Genomic DNA, 19,944 nt, shown 5'->3' with positions numbered 1-19,944 from the left:
CTCCTTTCCCAATTCACAATTAGGGTTGTATAATGCTTAAGTTCTGTGTTATTTCATGTGCAGACAGTGATGGTTGAAAACCATATACCTACTCAAAAATCACAGACCAAACATATTTATGCATATGTATATATAATACATATATATATATATGTAGTCTCATCTCTAAATTTATCCTTCTATCCTTGTAAGTAAACCATCAGACTAGAATTCCAAAAAAAGACAGAATAGACATGTTCCACTGCTTCTTGTTAAACTGAATGCATACGTGTATATAGCAGGATCTAGGGTGTTGCATTTTGTTTCTTTAGTCTACACATTATATTCTTCTTAAAACTCAATGGTGAGGTAGTTTCTTGCCCAGGGAGTGCCTGGGGTAAGGTGTGAGAGCAAACAAACACATACAGCTCCTCCTGTACTGTGCTCACCACTGTTCATTTGATTCTCATAATAACCCAAAGAGGTACCTACTATCATTGCTTCTATTTTATAAATCAGGAAACTGAGGCAAAGAGCAGTTTACTGACTTAAACACAATGACACAGCTGTAAATAATGGAGCCAGGATTTTAACCCAGGGGATCTGGCTTCAAAGTCTACTTCCCTTCCCTATACTATGCTACTATGCTATATAGCATTCCTCAGAAGATATTCTTTTCTCTGCTTCATCATGATGCTACAAGAGTTTAAAGGCATCCACAAAAAATTGCTCAGTGAAATGTCATTAAGAAGAACTCAATTTTATACAGATCAATTTGAATTGAATCCTGTTTTACCATTGGCTAGCTCTGTGGTAGTTATCACTTTAATCTTCAGAGTTCTTATTGTAAAATGTTAACACTAATATCAACCATAGGCTTGAACTGAATATTAAACATAAAATATGTGAACCACCTATAAAAGGACCTGAAACATACAGCGTACTTTAAAACTATAATTATTTTCCATGAATATTGGTTTTGCCGACTCTTATAGTGCATAAAACAACCTATTTACATTCTTCCAAGAGAACTATATATGTCATGAATCACGGATCATATTAGTTGTGAGAAATAAAGCAGTCATCTTCCTTTAGTTTATTCTGTAGCTTACAGGAAGAAACTGGCATGGACAGGAAGGAGATGAGACAACATTCCGTCTGCCTTACATACCATGAGCTCTAAAATAGAGCCATCATCAAAGAGCAGAGTGTATAGGGTAGGCTGTGAAGCATTTGGAAGAAATATTTTTGAGTTCTATTCTAGGAGGAAATAATGTGGAATTCATTCTTTGTACTGAGAAAAGGCTATACGAATCTGGAAAAAATATTTTAAGAGAATCATGAAACCCATGAACATTTTCAGAACATTTTGGCAGATATTCCAATCCCTTTCCAAATGGTAGCTCATGCATTATAGGAGAGAAAGAATGGGTCACTTGAGTGTTCACTTATGTGGATGTGTGCAAATGTCATTGCAAGAACAGACTCTCCAAGCTTTTATTGCACTCTTCCCTTGGCACAGATAAATATCCTAATGTGTCTTATTCATTGCATGTGAACTTTTGAGGCACTATAGGGCAATGGGACAAGCATGGAGCTTAACTCATCCTCATACCCATTAGTTAATCATGTGACTTTGTTCATTCTCTCGAAACTTAAATTTTTATCTTTGCCATAGGCAAAGGCATAATAAGGCACTTATTTTAGGGAGTGCAGAACTGGACAGCAGCATGCAGGGACCTCTAGTAGTGGATCCCTAGCAGTCAAGAAAACAAAATTATTTAGACATTACTGAGCAGCTCTGATGTGCAAAGCACTATGCTGTACAGAGGAAATAGGAAAATTAGATAAGCCCCTGCCAAAAAGTTACTCACAATTTGAATGAATGGAAGAGTTTGAATAGGGTTTGGAAGGACTAAGTAGGATTAAAAAAGAAATCAGATGAGCTAGCTTATTAAAAATCAGTACAGGGTTAAGAGTTTCACAAGCATTTCTTGAGGTCTTTGGTAATTCCCGAAGAGGGATCCAGCCTGCTAGAGATACACAATGAGTTCTGAGAGGGAAAATTCAGGAGGGAGGTGAAAGAACTCGGATCATTGGTGGGCTTCATAAAAGAGTTTAAACTTGAAACATATATGCCTTCATGCTAAATCATGCATGTTCTCTGGCTATTCTGCACACATATTTTTACATACCTACCTCTTTTCCACTTTCCAGGCAGATCCAAGTTTTGCAGGTGACAAAACAAAACAAAACTATAACACATTTCTTGATATGATCAGGCTCTTTTTCCTTCCAAAAGCCATTAACTAAACTATAACGCAAATAAATTGCTTCTGGGGCACCTGGAGTTTTCCTAAGATTTGTCTGTCTTCTGAGAAAATACTAAGAGCTGATTCATCCTAATAAGGTGTGAATCAAGTGTTAAACTGTAACTGAATTGTACAATTAATTTTACTTTTCCCTGTTTTCTCCATTTCTTCCATGGAGTTATAGAAGCTTATAACAGGATTCCTACTATTATTTAAAATGTTTTTCTGAGAAATACTACCCCGTCCGATATTCACAAATTATTTCAGATTTCTTAACCTTTCCTTCTTCTTTTTTCTTTATTTTATATGGTGGACATGATCCTGAGGTTGATTTTCACTTGTGGTTGGCCCTTTCTATTACTTGAGCAAGATATGCCAATATGAAAATAAGATATAGACTTACTTTCTCAAGGTACTATCTAGGTATAGAAATAGAGACTTAGGCAGAGAGATAGATAGATATAATACATGCACACAAAGAAACATTGATAGTGATATGGTTTGGAACTGTCCCAACCCACATCTCCTACTGAAATGTAACCCCCAATGTTGGAGATGGGGCCTGGTGGGAGGTGACTCATCATGAGGGCAGATTGCTCATGAATAGTTTAGCACCATCCCCCTTGGTACTGTTATCACAATAGTGAGTTCTCATGAGATTTGGTCATTTAAAAGTGTGTAGCACCTCACTCTTGATCTCTTGCTTCTCCTCCGGCCGTGTGATGTGCCTGCTCCTGCTTCGCCTTCCCCATGATTGTAATTTTCTGGAGACCTCCCCAGAAACCAAGCAGATGCCAGCATCACGCTTCCTGTACAGCCTGCAGTACCGTGAGCCAAGTAAACCTCTTTTCTTTATAAATTACCCAGTCTCAGGTATTTCTTTATAGTAATGAGAGAATGAACTAATACAAATAGATAAAAATATATCATGTGTATTTAGATAACAGATAATTAGACAGGTAGAACATTTGGGCTAAGATCTATCTCTGTATCATGGCTCTGGACACTTTAAGTATTCATTGCAACTCAGTCCCACATTTGTAAATAAAAGTACCCATCTGATACAGTTATCAGGAGGATTACACAAGTAATACATGCAAGTTGCCTGGGCGATGGATAAGCACTTGACTGGTATTTGAGAAACACTTATGAATCCTTCTTGTTTAGTTCTTGAAATCAACATTATAAGAGACAAACAGAGAGCCAAATCATGAGTGAACTCGCATTCACAATTGCTTCAAAGAGAATAAAATACCTAGGAATCCAACTTACAAGGGATGTGAAGGACCTCTTCAAGGAGAACTACAAACCACTGCTAAATGAAATTAAAGAGGATACAAACAAACGGAAGAACATTCCATGCTCATGGGTAGGAAGAATCAATATCGTGAAAATGGCCACACTACCCAAGGTAATTTATAGATTCAATGCCATCCCCATCAAGCTACCAATGACTTTCTTCACAGAATTGGAAAAAACTACTTTAAAGTTCATATGGAACCAAAAAAGAGCCCACATTGCCAAGTCAATCCTAAGCCAAAAGAACAAAGCTGGAGGCATCACGCTACCTGACTTCAAACTATACTACAAGGCTACAGTAACCAAAACAGCATGGTACTGGTACCAAAACAGAGATATAGATCAATGGAACAGAACAGAGCCCTCAGAAATAACGCCGCATATCTACAACCATCTGATCTTTGACAAACCTGACAAAAACAAGAAATGAGGAAACAACTCCCTATTTGATAAATGGTGCTGGGAAAACTGGCTAGCCATATGTAGAAAGCTGAAACTGGATCTCTTCCTTACACCTTATACAAAAATTAATTCAAGATGGATTAAAGACTTAAACGTTAGACCTGAAACCATAAAAACCCTAGAAGAAAACCTAGGCATTACCATTCAGGACATAGGCATGGGCAAGGACTTCATGTCTAAAACACCAAAAGCAATGGCAACAAAAGCCAAAATTGACAAATGGAATCTAATTAAACTCAAGAGCTTCTGCACAGCAAAAGAAACTACCATCAGAGTGAACAGGCAACCTACAAAATGGGAGAAAATTTTCGCAACCTACTTATCTGACAAAGGGCTAATATCCAGAATCTACAATGAACTCAAACAAATTTACAAGAAAAAAACAAACAACCCCATCAAAAAGTGGGCAAAGGCCATGAACAGACACTTCTCAAAAGAAGACATTTATGCAGCCAAAAAACACATGAAAAAATGCTCACCCTCACTGGCCATCAGAGAAATGCAAATCAAAACCACAATGAGATACCATCTCACACCCGTTAGAACGGCAATCATTAAAAAGTCAGGAAACAACAGGTGCTGGAGAGGATGTGGAGAAATAGGAACACTTTTACACTGTTGGTGGGACTATAAACTAGTTCAACCATTGTGGAAGTCAGTGTGGCGATTCCTCAGGGATCTAGAACTAGAAATACCATTTGACCCAGCCATCCCATTACTGGATATATACCCAAAGGACTATAAATCATGCTGCTATAAAGACACATGCACACGTATGTTTATTGCGGCACTATTCACAATAGCAAAGACTTGGAACAAACACAAATGTCCAACAACGATAGATTGGATTAAGAAAATGTGGCACATATACACCATGTAATACTATGCAGCCATAAAAAATGATGAGTTCATGTCCTTTGTAGGGACATGGATGAAATTGGAAATCATCATTCTCAGTAAACTATCGCAAGGACAAAAAACCAAACACCGCATGTTCTCACTCATAGGTGGGAACTGAACAATGAGAACACATGGACACAGGAAGGGGAACATCACACTCTGGGGACTGTTGTAGGGTGGGGGAAGGGGGGAGGGATAGCATTAGGAGATATACCTAATGCTAAATGACGAGTTAATGGGTGCAGGACACCAGCATGGCACATGTATACATATGTAACTAATCTGCACATTGTGCACATGTACCCTAAAACTTAAAGTATAATAATAATAAAAATAAATAAATAAATTTCAGAAGTTATTCCTAAAAAAAAAAAGAAATCAACATTATAACTGAGTGTTTGTATAAAGAATACATTTGAAAACATAAGTAAGTATTTAGAAATGCCTTTTATCCCAGAAGTTTATGTTTCTTAATTTCATTAATTATCTGGAATCATTATTTGCCTTTGGCATAGCCTTCATTAATTGTCCTAGCATCTTTAGATCCCAGATTCCAGGTCCTACTACCCAGTTCTCAAATTCTGGGATCCTTCTAAACAATTTCAGATTCACTTACAGACACTGGTAAAGATCCAGTACCTGCATGACCTAGACAGAGAATATGTAAACAGATGTTAAATGACATGTTAAATGACAGAGTAATGTTATATGTATATATTGACATATTTATATATAAAGTTAACATTTCAGTCCTTAGGTGTAGCACATCCTATTGACTAACACTACTAATAGAATCATCAGAAAACATTAATATTTTTAGTAAACAAAACATATATTCATATATACAGCTTCACATGATTTACCTAAAAACACTGGAGAAAAGCTTGTATCAGCATAATTTTATAGATGAAAAAACTGAGGATACAAAACCAGATCACAAAGCCATTTAATGACATACTCAAAACTCAGATCCAAGCCTTTAGACTCCAAATCCCTTGGAAAATCTCTAAACTCCATCAGGTTAACTTTCATAAACTTTTAACTATCAAGCTTCCTTTAGAAAATAACGAGCTACAATTATTTTCTTTCTTCCCTTCTTTTTTTTTACCCCCCCAAACCGGTAAGAAATGTTGAGGTCCAAAGAGCAAAAGTTCTTGTTTATATTATATAAAACTAATAAAACATAGAATATGTTTTTTCCTGGTAATATTTACATTTTATATAAGAGGTTGGCCTCAAACTCTTTGTAAGAAATGTTTACATAATTAACCTAGACATGTAATAGGCTGTACTGTCTAGGTCTGTGTATGTACACTCTGTCAATGCATGACAAAATCGCTTAAGGATGCATTTATCAGAAAGTATCCCATCATTAAAAGACCATGACTGTATTAGATAGATAGACAGATTATCTCTCTATATGAAGATGTAGATACCTATATCCACCTATATCTACATATAAATACGTAGATACCTATATATATAGAGAGAGAGAAATCTATATCTCTTTATCTATAGATATCTATCTATCAACAGATAAGTGATAGGTAGAGATAGATAGATAAATAGATAGACAGATAGATGTGACATATAGATAGATATCTAGAGATAAATAGATTGTTATCACCTTTTCATTATCCATTTATTCATATATGGACTTTGGGGTTATTTCATATATCAGCATTTATGAATAATGCTAGAATAAACTTCAGACTATAAGTATATCTCTTTGAAATCTTGTTTTCAATTCATTTAACACTGTATGATTTCAATTATCTGAGGCATCTGAAGTACTCAAACTCTTAGTAGCAGAAGGTAGGATGGTGATTGCCGGGGGCTGCGGGGAGAGGGAAATAAGGAGTTCGCTGGCTATAGAGTTTCAGTTATGCAAGATGAAAACTGTCTGGAGTTATGTTATATACAATGCACATAGTTAACAATACTGTACTCTACACTTACATGTTTATTAAGTAGGTTTTTTTTTTAAATAAAAAGAAACTCTATCAGTTCACTTAGTTATTGGAAAAGCTTTCTCTTAGGCTAAAGCTGTGGTTTGTTCGAGTAATATGATTTAGAGGAGATAGAGGAGGTTGTTTATGTATCATGTAATTTATGTATTTTCAAAAATTAAATTGTATCTTTAATCCTTAAATATGAAACAACATTTCTATCTCCTTCAACATCTGTACATTGTACACCCAGCTTTGTCTTTCTCATCTTGTATTGTAGAGGTCACAGATCATATGCCTTTTATGACCATAAGGGCCACAAGCCTCCTTTCCAATGGGAATTGTCAGTCCAATCATTCTGGAGTAATTTTAGGCAGACTCTGAACAAGTTGAATAATCATTTTTCTGTTCTCTTCTTCAGCTTGTCTTTCTAGGCATATGTTAAATAAGTTTTCAATTATTGCCAGAAATCCTAAGGAAGTGAAACTTACTTGTTATCTTAATGGTGGTTGAAGGAGTTTTAATGTCATCTGCTGGAACAACAGCTGAATGTGGAATGTTATATAACAGTCCCAGCATAACATTTATTGGGTAACAAAGTCAGATGTAGGCTGGATATGATAAAAATAAGTGAACTCATGTTGTATCCTCATGTTCAATTTCATCTTTGGTTTGGATCTAGCCGAATCACTTTTATTTTCATTTGAGTTGTCATTGCTTGCAAATCCTTTACCTGTATTTACAATGTTTCTATTATGAGATATATGCCAAATTTACTCTGAAATTATTTACTCAGTATTATAGTGAGTAAATGTATTATAAATATTTAAATATTTATAATATTTAATATTATATTTATAGTATTAAATATTATAAATATTTATATTTAATATTATAAATATTTACAAGTATATACACAGAAGTTACGAATATAAGTCAAAAGTATTCTACATACAGTAACCTAAAAGTCAGACGGTCTCTAATACTAGCTTTCTATGTTTATAAATTCAGATCACTAGGTTTTGATTTACTATTGTTAAATGCAGGGTGCTTGTGTAAACTATTTTGAAGGCCTGTACAACAACTAAATTTTTCTAATTTAGATTTCTAATAATACAATAATACTATTTTTCTAATAATAAATTGATTTGTTTTCCACATTATAATCCCTGCAGCACCCTTGAAAGAAAGGTAGCATTACAATATTCCAGATCAAAAAGGTAACACGCTTCTCAAGAAATCATCAGCTGATAAACTATATATGGAGGAAACCCAGTCAGGGCTGTCTGTCTTCAATACCTAATTCTCTCTATGACACCAAATATCCACTCACAACATGTACCAAGGTTTGGAAAATTCCCTGCTTTTGTTTCTAACCTATCCTATCATAGAATAAAAATATTTCACAGATACTAGGAGAACATGACACATTTATTTCAATATAAAACTCAAAGTTAAAAATTGGAATCCACAAGTGACAAGTTTTAGGCAAGATCCTCTCAGAAATTTCTCCTAACATTCTTGGAGGCAAACTTCTATTCCTAGTTAAATCCTGACCATCAGCATGGGGGTTATTTTCAGTTTTTCTCATTTTAAAAATCCCTTTCCAGCTAGAAATCCAGCCTTGAAAGGGCCCTACTAATGATCTGAGTCAGATGACTCAGCAGAGAGCAAATATTATTCTATTCCCCAGCACTCTGTTACCTTTCACTCCCTCACTTTTCTTGCTGCAGTGAAAAATGATTCATATAAAGCAAACCAAAATAGTAAAAACAGAAAGAAACTATGAGAAAGACTGCTTAACAATTTCCAATCGCGGCTGGGGCTTGGAGAAATTGAAAAGAGGCCCGGGATGCTTACTTTTCAGCCATGCCTAGAATATGTTTTAGTTTCAGTATCAAGAGAATCATTTCCATGAAGGAGAGCTAAAGGAGACTGCAAAATCATATGTCTTTTCCTTGATCAGGAGCAGGAGCATTGTGAAGGGATCAGGCAGTCCCTGAAGAAGCACCTGAAAGAAACTGATTAGAAGAAACATGAAATACATGGGCTTCCTCCTAACCCACCTCCTTGCTGCCTCCACCCTCAGCTCCAGGGTCAACCCAAAAAGGCGTCTGAGTTTTATGAGAGATGTATTCAGTAACAAAAGAACAAGACTGAGCCTTGATTATTCAGGAAAATGTAACTTAGAGAAGGTTAAACTTACCATTTTTGGAAGCGGGCGTTCCTTCCAGAATACACATGAAAGGCCTGGGGACTTCTCTGTTTTTGTGATACTAACAGAGAAAGAACTTTGCTTTTACTAAGTCAGATTCTCATTATTATTCTTTTCTTTCCACTCTTTTTCATGATCTCAGGGTTAAGTTGAAAAAAAGCAGAAAAAGAAAACACAAAGTATTTTTTACTCAGCATCATGGGGATTCCTTTTGTGTGTTTGAATCGTTGTACTGAAAAAAAATGTCAACTCCACTACTTAGAGTCATAAAAAGCTGTCTATGCCTTTCCAAGTCACACCACCACCTCCTTAACCACCCGAAGCCTTTGGTGAAACCATAAGTGTATATCGATTTGTTAAATTCAGTTCTTGCCAGAGCTGTATCAAATATAAAATGATCTTCCTTTAAAAACAGTTCCCCCTCAAAGATCAAGCTCTCAGATTCACTGAGTTATGCATGGTTTAGAACAAATAAATTATCTCTGATAGCACTTAAAAGTGCGTTGCTAAAGAACCCTGGAGTAAAATGTTAATGTGTGCAAAGGAACAGAGTGAATTAGGAACATTTACCAAAATTACTTACTGTAACCTGTACGTTCCAAATTTTTGCCAAGATCCTATAACCATGTTGTTCTTACTACTGGGGAAGTTGTATCCTTCAACTTGGTTCCAAGTTGAAGAATGCTGGAGGGCCAAGTTAGATGTCGAAATATTCCTCTCTGGCACATCAATAAGGGACATGATTTATAGAGAATTTAACGAGAAACATTCACAAGAAAGATCTTGGGAAAAGAATTTTTAAACTATTACCTATGAGAAGTGTAAGCATGAGATGGTAATGATGAAAAAAATTGAAAATTATATTAAATATCTGAGGAGTCTGGCTAAACACACTGTGGTACAATCACATAATAGAATGCTACCCAGTGCTAAAAAGAAAGAAACTGCAGGTAATGGGACAACTTGGATGGATTTCAAGGACATCACACTAAGTGAAAAATGTCAATCTTTGAAAGTTAAGTGCTAGATGATTCCATTTATACATTTTCTAAACAACAAAACTATAGCAATGGGAGGACAGCTCAATGGTTGCCTGTGGTTAGTGCAGAGGAAGAGGGTGTGGCTATAAAAGTAGGTCCATTGAGTGGCAGAACATTTCAGTATCTGACTTGTATAAACCTATGCAGGTGAGAAAATCTCACATAACTATACACAAAATTACAAAAATTAACACACAAAAAAAAACAGTGCATGCAAAACCTGATGAAATCCAAGTAGATTCTAGTTAATTGTATTGTGCCAATATCAATTTCCTTGTTTTGAAGATGTCCAATAGTTATTTAAATGTTTCCATTAGGGAAAGCTGAATGAAGGTCAAAGGGGAACTTTCTGTACTATCTTTGCAATTTTCAGTGACTCTATAATTGTTTCCAAATGTAATTTTAAAAAAATCTTGGGATACATTTCTGAGAGCCTGTACTTAACAATGCATCCATTCCTTTAAAAGCATTTTTTTTTTGCTAACCACCTATTTTTATGTGAAGATTTTAGATACACAGAGATAAGGCATGATGAGAACACAATGTAATCACAAGATACTAAGTGGGACCAATGGACAGACAAACCCAAAGTTAAATTATACAGTGAAGTGCAACCCAGGGTACAAAGTTCTTTGTGAGTACAGTGGAAGTTGTGAACATTCTCTTTCAGAGAAATGCAAATCAAAACCACAATGAGATACCATCTCACACCCGTTAGAATGGCGATCATTAAAAAGTCAGGAAACAACAGGTGCTGGAGAGGATGTGGAGAAATAGGAACACTTTTACACTGTTGGTGGGACTGTAAACTAGTTCAACCATTGTGGAAGACAGTGTGGCGATTCCTCAAGGATCTAGAACTAGAAATACCATTTGACCCAGCCATCCCATGACTGGGTATATACCCAAAGGATTATAAATCATGCGGCTATAAAGATACATGCACACGTATGTTTATTGCGGCACTATTCACAATAGCAAAGACTTGGAACCAACACAAATATCCATCAGTGATTGACTGGACTAAGAAAATGTGGCACATATACACCATGGAATACTACGCAGCCATAAAAAAGGATAAGTTCATGTCCTTTGCAGGGACATGGATGAAGATGGAAACCATCATTTTCAGCAAACTATCACAAGGACAAAAAGCCAAACACCGCATGTTCTCACTCATAGGTGGGGATTGAACAATGAGAACACCTGGACACAGGAAGGGGAACATCACACACCTGGGCCTGTTGTGGGGTGGGGGGAGGGGGGAGGGATAGCATTAGGAGATATACCTAATGTAAATGATGAGTTAATGGGTGCAGCACACTAACATGGCACATGTATACATATGTAACAAACCTGCACATTGCGCACATGTACCCTAGAACTTAAAATATAATAAAAAAAATTAAAAAATTCATAGAAGTGTGATGTTTTGTCTGACCTTCAAGACTGAATTGTCAAGTGGACAGTGGTTGTGGCATTCCTTTGAACATGACTGAAGCATTGTATCTTATTGTAGAGATTGTCCCACAGTTTATTTAGGAAAGTGATCAGTAGTTTTTTAGAGACTCAACCATTTGCCTTAAAGCTGCTGTCCCTGAAGAAATAGCCCATAATTCCAAAGCAATTGAAATGATGGAAATGAAACATGTTTTACTGAAAGATTTTTTTCTTTTTCTATAATGTCCTTTTGACAGTTTTCCTAGTTTTCCATCCAGCTAAATACAGCACAATAAACCTCCTTCATCTAAAACGGCAAATGGATGAACGGATGCTGGTGCTGATATGAGGTTTATGTGTATCTTATGATCTTATGACTTTACCCCAGGTTCTCATTAAGAAGATCACAGATACCAAGTAAATATATGGGAGAGGATGACAAAAATGCCCGCTTCATCTGTTCCATGCATACCTGAAGATTGAGATTATATCAGAATGGAACAATGTCACACTCAAACACTGGACAAGAGCTCAGTCAACATCTCCTCCATTTTTTTTTCTGTCTGATGATAGAGTATCTGTAGACAGAGGACTACATAACTTTAACTTAAAAGGAAATAAAGAGGACAATGGAAAGGATGAGTGGGTTTTTTTTGAAACAGGGTCTCAATCTGTCATCCAGGCTGGAGTTCAGTGGCACAATTATAGCACACTGCAGCCTCAACCTCCCAGGCTTATGCTCTCCTGCATCAGCCTCCGGAGTTGCTGGGATTACAGGCATGTGCCACCATGCCAAGCTAATTGTTTTATTTTTTGTAGAGATTGGGTCCCACCATGTTGCCCAGGCTGGTCTCAAACTCCTAGACTCAAGGGATCCTTCCACCTCAGCCTGCCAAAGTGCTGGGATTACAGGCATGAGCCACTGTGCCTGTCCCGTGTGATTCTTTAAAGACTCAGTGCTTCCTGGCGATTTGGCTCTAGTTAGACCAACACTTATTCCCCACTATTCTCAGGCATGGATAAAACAGACACGACAGAAGCAACATATAGTCCACTTAAAAAAAAAAAATCTTTGACAAGGCAAGAGCAAATAAGGAAATTAGAAATGGGTAGAGAGAAACTAAGGTATATTACATGAATTCTTTGTGCCGGACTCTGTGTTTGGCTCCATTTCAAATCCAATCTAGCCCATTACACCAAAGGGTGTAAAACCCATTTCTAATAAGTCTAGTCAGTTTACAATTATCATTACTTTTTAGAAGAAGAAACATATGTCCTCCTTTCAACATTGCTCATCTAGCCATTTTTTTTTTCACAGAGCAGACCAAGTAATTTTAAAAGCAACTTGAGGCTGTGCGCGGTGGCTCACACCTGTTAATCCCAGCACTTTGGTAGGCCGAGACAGGCAAATCACGAGGTCAAGAAATCGAGACCATCCTGGCCAACAAGGTGAAACCCCGTGTCTACTAAAAATACAAAAATTAGCTGGGTGTAGCATTGCGCACCTGTAGTCCCAGTTACTCCGGGGGCTGAGGCAGGAAAATCGCTTGAACCCGGGAGGCAGAAGTTGCGGTAAGCTGAGATCACACCACTGCACACTCCAGCCTGGCGACAGAGTGAGACACAGTCTCAAAAAAAAAAAAAAAAAAAAAAGCCAACTTGAATATAATCCCCGCTTCTTAAAACTGTTCAATAAATTTCAAAAACCCTTGATAAAGTATAAGTTATTCAGTTGGCAAAGTTTTACAAGGTGTGGCTCTGCTTACTCTCAGTGTTTATCCCTTTCTTCTTCAATGTCTCAGATTTTATCTTCTCCTTACATTCAGGTTTAATCTCTTTCTTCTCCTATTATTCCAAATAAACATAGACATTTCACATGCATGAATGTGTATGGTCTCTCAGATCTTCTCATTTACCTTCCCACATGCAGACCCATTCCTCCGAAAAAAAAGCAAGCCCCATTCAAATACTCTTTTGCCTACCACTAAACCCACACTTTTTTGTCCGCAGAATTTATATTCGTCTTCCAGGTCTCACCTCCAAACACAACTCAGAGGCTCTTCTTAATGCTCTCCAGTTCTTTGTGCATCTCTGTCTTAAACTCATCTGTGAGTTTTCTGCACAAGTAGAAAAGTTGTCTTTGCCTATTTTATTTCTAGTGCTTGGAACAATAACTGACCTACAGTAGGTTCCCCAAAGTTATATTTCAATCAAAGATCATCAGTTGGTTCAAGAAGACAAACTCATACTGATATCACACGAACACTAAAGTGTCATAGACAACACATGATTCTGAGTGACAACAGTGGGGAGGTAGCATCAGTGCCCACACATATACACACAAACAGGTATAATAACCAGGTGATATGATTTGACTGTGTCCCCACCCAAATCTCATTTTGAATTCCCATGTGTTGTGGGAGGAACCTGGTGGGAGGTAATTGAGTCATGGGAGCAGGTCTTTCCCATGCCGTTCTCGTGATTGTGAATAAGTCTAATGAGATCTGATTGTCTTAAAAGGGGAATTTCCCTGCACAAGCTCTCTTCTTTTGTCTGCTGCCATGCAAGATGTGCCTTTTACCTTCCACCGTGATTGTGAGGCTTCCCCAGCCATGTGGAACTTTAAGTCCAACAAACCTCTTTCTTTTGTAAATTGCCCAGTCTCAGATATGTCTTTATGAGCAGCATGAAAATGGACGAACACACAAGGGATTTTCATGATTAAGGGCTTGGGAATCACTAACAACTTCCTAAGGCCACATGTCAACAAGTGGAAGTATTTTCCACTTACAAGCCAGGAATATATTCATCTATCAATTTACTTGTTCAACACTTATTCATACCTGCTTTGTGATCATATTAAGTGGCCCAAGGACCAAATATAATAATAATGAAAAACTCGATGAACTCAAGGTACTCAAAATGAAGTGAAAAACACATTATAGTTCTGGGCCAAAAAGACACAGAAAAGAAGATGCTAAGAGCTGAATCACGTATCACCCTCAAGAAACTATTTGCCAATTGTGGTGTGTAGCACATACTCTTTATCTATGCCCAAAAAAATTACATAAAAGGTAATATCAGTATTGCAGAGAATGTCTTCTGTGCAGTTATATTAGTTACATGTTTTTGAAAACTAATTTTCTTCTTTGTTCCTCTAAGTATGAATTATCTGTTTTCTACATTCATTCAATATCTCACCCCAAGATACTCTATGAGGAAGAGGATGGGGAAGATAATGTCAGAAAATGCACATCTAGTCTGACATTGCTGATAATTAACTGGGTGACTTGGGCAAGTTACCCTTTTTTCTTGGTCTTGGCTATTTAATTGATATAAATCTAGACAATCTAGATGAGGATGATTAAAATGCCAGATGTAAACAAACGTAATCTTTATTGCCTAAAGAAAGTGTTTCACAAAGTTGGAAGACTTGCTGTTTTCCACTTGGAATAAAATTTAGAACATCTATGGCCCTTGGTTGACATTTATATTTGTCTTTTCTTTTTAATTCTTAGGACAAAACGCTCTTTATTTTCTCTTTTCTGTTGTGAATGTTTTGGCATCAATGCCTTCGGAATCGTTTGTCACTTGTCCATGGAATTGCATGAATTTCCCAGTAATTCTTCAATTCTACTCCATGGCAATTTGCTGGCCAGATGTTTCCTTCTGACCTTCCTATAATGGGGAATATGGCACAATAATCAAAGAAGAAATTTGTCCCCAGTCCAGAGAACTTTTGCATGCTACTTAATTTCAAACATAAACTTCAAAAAGTTTGGGAGATGCTGGAAAATAATAGCAAAAATCCTGACAGGACTCAGAGAAGACAATCAAGCTTTGTACGTGGAAGCATCTAATTCAAGGTTCTCACGCCCTTTTGTCTAGAGAACACTGGCATGGTTAAGAGAGAGAAAGAAAGTAAGGGGGATGGGGGTGGCAGGGAGAGAATGTTAGCTACATCTGGCTTTGTTATTCGCTATGTAAATTTGTATATTTATTGGGGCCTCAGTTTCCACATTATACCATAAGAATATTGACATTAAACAAAAATTATTAAGTCTATTTTTGTAAGCTTGAATTGTTATGCAAAATAAAATACTTGTTTGGAATATATATATGTATAAATAATTATATGTACATAATAATATATAAAACAAATATGACAAATTTACAATTAAAACAGGGTGGTAGTACCAAAGCCAGAATTACTGAGCATTTCTTTCTCCAAATTTTAAGTCCATACAAAAAACACCTGTGTGAGTATATGTGCACACGTGCATTCTTTTGCATACACACAATCAGGTTTTGTAGTCCATCAAGATTTTTTTGTCTAAAGATTTTTAAATCAATATTTAAAATGATTTCTATTAAAAGGCTTACAAAGGTATAAAAGCAATCACTTAAAATTGTACTTTCAATGTCACTAATGTTACTAGATATTTGCAGATTGCTTTAGAAATAGACAAATTGATATTTCCATTAGCAAAGTATATCCTTGCATTTTAGCCAGTAATTGGAATTATAGTTCTTTTCTTCTTAATTTATGCCACTCTCATAGGTATTTCAAAAGTCACTGTTATTTTAATTTTCATTGACTTCACTACCATAAAGGTAGATAAACTCTCGTATGTCTGTTGAACTGTTGGATTTGTTCTTTGTGCACTGCCTTCAACACATTTAACTCATTTTTCTATTTTATGCAAATTAAAAATGTAGTATATCTTAGGTATGGCAATTACAATTTTTCAAATCTATGGTTTGTGTATTTTCTTTTTATGGTATTATAACTCAAAAGGATTTCTAATTTCTATCTTGTCAAATGGGGCTCAACTTTGAGTTTTTGCATATAAAGAATGGTTATATGAGAAGTTATTAAAACAGCCTACAATGCTCTATATGACCTGATTCCATTTTACCTCTTAATATCCCTCCAGTTCTTGAAGCCACATACTGACTATGCTCTTCTGTGTACACACACACACCTTAGAACCTTTACACCAGCTCCTGACTCTGCTTAGACCTCTGTGTTCTAAGGCATCTGCCTGAATTGCTAGTCAGTTTCTTCAAATTTTGGCTCAAATGCAATATTTTCTTTCTTTCTTTTTAGAGACAGGGTCTCACTTTGTCAGCAAGACTGGAGTGAAGTGGTGTGATCATAGCCCCTTGCTGCCTCAACCTCCTGGGCTCAAACAATCCTTCAGACTCAGCCTCCCAAGTAGCTAGGATGACAAGAGCATGACACCATGCCTAGCTAATTTCTGTGTGTGTGTGTGTGTGAAGATAGGGGTTTCACTGTGTTATCCAGGCTGGTCTTGAACTGCTGACCTGGAGTGATCCTCTTGCCTTAGTATCCCAAAGCACTGGGATTACAGGTGAGAGTCAATGCACTGACCAAATGACACATTTTCAATGAGTCCTATTTTATGGTATTACAAAGAATCATAATCTGGCCTACTCTTTACCCTCTTTGGCCCCAGCATTCACAATCTCTCTTTCCCAGTTTCACTTTAGTTATACTTTTTTCCACAGCCCTTGTTATTTCCTGGCAAAATAGATTGTATAATTATTTATTTTGCTTGCTAGTTATTGTCTCCTATTTATTCAACATGGAGATCCATGTTTCATTTAATTGTAATGCCTCAAGCACCTAGAATTATACCTAACAGGATTCAATAACTATGCATTTAATGAAAGATGTATTCACTTTCTAGTTTTTCACAAGAGAGTTTTGATATCTTTTTTATTACCATTATTTTTACATCTAGGTTTTCTTCTAAATGAGTTATATTTTTCTGCTTAGTGTGAGAGAGTAGTCCCCTTTTATTTACTTTCAAATGGATAAAGGTTGTTCCAGCTTGATTTCATAAACAGGACATGTCTCATTCCACTGAATTAAAGTAACATCTCTACTATACATTAAATTATGATACATATTGTGGTCCAGTTCTGGAAACATTCTAGTTTTTTTTCACCAAATATTTTGTCAATCTCCATATCAATGTCATATCAATTTTATTATGTAGCTTGAGAATATAATCTCTCAATTTAGAACTGCATCCCTTTTGCACTCCCAATTTTCTGCTCCCTTGCTTAAATTTGTACTCAAACATACTTTTCAACTTGTAGTGTCACAGGATCCCTGGGGTGTCACTTCGCCAGCTGGAAACCTCTGTGGCTGGTGGCGCCTTCTGCCTGAGTATTTCTCATACTCAGAGCTGAGCTCATTCTCCCCACTTGGCCTGGCAGGCAGCACTTGACTCACTTTACCAGCCTGGACCCCACACCTGCCAAGGGCAAGCCAGGTGCAGAACAGCAAGGGGTGTGTGAGTAAGTGAGCATGGGATCTGGCCACTGTGCATAGCTGGGCATGCTGACAGTGCAGCAGGGCGGGCAGCTCCAGGCACCGACACAGGTGTGGGCTCTGTGCAAGGCTGCAGCTGGACCACATGTACCACACATGGCTTAAACTGTGGGCACCCATGTCTGGAGAGGAAAAAGCAGTGAAACCCAGAAGCCTGGAGATGCCAGGAACTGCAAGCCCCAAAGAGGATGTCACTACTCTGGCTCAGGGAGACCCTAGGTCTGGGCTTACTGAAAGGTTGCAGTGCTTCTCTCCTTCTTATCACAAGCAACACAGTGAGTGGAGGGCGTGTTTCAGCCCTGTTTATGTTACAGCTCTTTCAGTCCTGCCATTCAGAGGCTCCAGAGTTCTTGTCCTGTATCCAGGAAGAATGAGAGAGGCAGAAAACTGGAGGGTGAGTAAGGTGAAGAGCAGCTTCATTGAGTGACAGAACAGATCTCAGGAGACCCGAAATGGGTAGCTCCTTTCCACAAGCAGGTCATCCCAATGAGTGTCCAACTCTCAGCAGTGTCCAGCTCTCAGCAGAGAGGAGAACTGCAGTGGATAATTCCTTTCCACAACTGGTAGTCCTGACATCTGTACAAGTCTGGCTGAGTCCAGGGTTTTTATGGGCTCAGAATGGAGGAAGTGAGTGCTGATTGGTCCAAGGATAGCCATGGGTGGGCCTGGAAAAAGCACCATAAGTTCTCACTCTGGGCCAAGGACTCCACCTGGAGCTGGCAGCTGAGCCCCCACGCTTCAGGCCATCCTGGCTTGAATGTGGGGTCTCACCTGGGACCTAACCCTTTCTGCTCAGGAGTCTGTCTGCCTCCCATCTTCAACATGCTGTCCACAGCACCCAGGATGTTCATGCTGAGGGGCACCTGCAGGCCCACACTGAGCTGCCCTCAGCCCACCCCTGGCCTCCCTCCTGGACTCCTCAGTGTCCAAAGTCTGGAGGGGGCCAAGGCAACTGGGGGAATAGCGTGTCAGCACTGCCCTGAGTGCACACACTCCCAGCCAGGTCACTACAGTGCTTGGGCTCAGCTCAACTTTCCTCCAAAATCAGAGCAGGTGCCAGCATGAGGGAGAGGCCAGGGAGTGGGAGCAGGCAATTCTGAGCCTGTGGGGACAGAGGGCTTCCTGAGCCCCCAAGAGTGCAGGGATGCCCAGGTCCGAAGCCATGGCTGGGCAGCTGCAGCTGTGCCTGGGAGGGCGGGGCTCCCCCTGACGGTAAGGGGAGAGGCTCCTGCCTGTTCTCAGCTCCCAGGAGCCCCACAAAGTCCAACCCCTGCTGCACCTCCCCCATTGAAGCCAGCATCCTGGCAACAGCTATTCCAGATGGGCCACTGCTGCCATCAGTAGCTACCATACAATTGTATTTATCTCTTGGGTTTACTGATTATATTTTACCTATCCTATCTAGAATTGTACTCAATAAGGTTTCTTTTGTATATTTATTTATACCTATCCACCAACAAGTGGGACAAATGCAGGTTAATGACTAGTAATTCTTTGATAAATGAAGAAATCAATTATGATTTCTAGAAGTACATTGTTGAAACAGAGGAAAACTATTGTTAAATGTATGTTTTCTCCATTAACCTTCCTAAATATTGTATTAATTCTAATATAGTATTTTAAATTCTCTAGGTAAACAGTCAAATCACCATCAAAACAAAAGATAATTTTAATCTTTTCTTTCCAAGTGTTTATAAATAATTAATGCTTTTCTCTTAATATCTATACTTCTAAATCAACCTAAAACATATGTGTCTTTACCAGCCTGCTGATACAAATAATTGACAAGTCTTACATTTTGATATCCTAGGAACACAAACAAAAGTCAATAGCAATTCCCAGGGCAATACCTGTCTTGTTTTAGCGCTTGTTCCTACTGCATTTAACTGAACAGCTAGTCCCTGGTTTCATTTATTGTTTTTACTTTCTCTGTTTGAACATGGTCCTCGTGTTGTTTCTATGGATCAGTCTTGAATCTCTTTAA

General features: G+C 37.8%; 1 long non-coding RNA gene across 3 annotated transcripts in view; it reads right to left on the bottom strand.

Annotated features, from left to right (window-relative positions):
• LOC105371310 (uncharacterized) overlaps positions 1-19,944 on the bottom strand; it is a 134,908-nt gene that overhangs the window by 79,110 nt on the left and 35,854 nt on the right. The window contains exon 1 of one of the 3 annotated variants that reach the window (XR_001752236.1): positions 9,108-9,397. The exons of the other annotated variants lie outside the window; for them this stretch is intronic. This is a non-coding gene — a long non-coding RNA (uncharacterized LOC105371310). Of the gene's footprint in view, positions 1-9,107; positions 9,398-19,944 lie in introns of those variants that run through there. 3 annotated transcript variants of the gene reach the window in all.

This window comes from Homo sapiens, chromosome 16 (genome assembly GCF_000001405.40).
Source record: "Homo sapiens chromosome 16, GRCh38.p14 Primary Assembly".
Lineage (NCBI taxonomy): Eukaryota > Metazoa > Chordata > Mammalia > Primates > Hominidae > Homo > Homo sapiens.
This window is presented reverse-complemented; position numbering and strand designations above follow the sequence as displayed.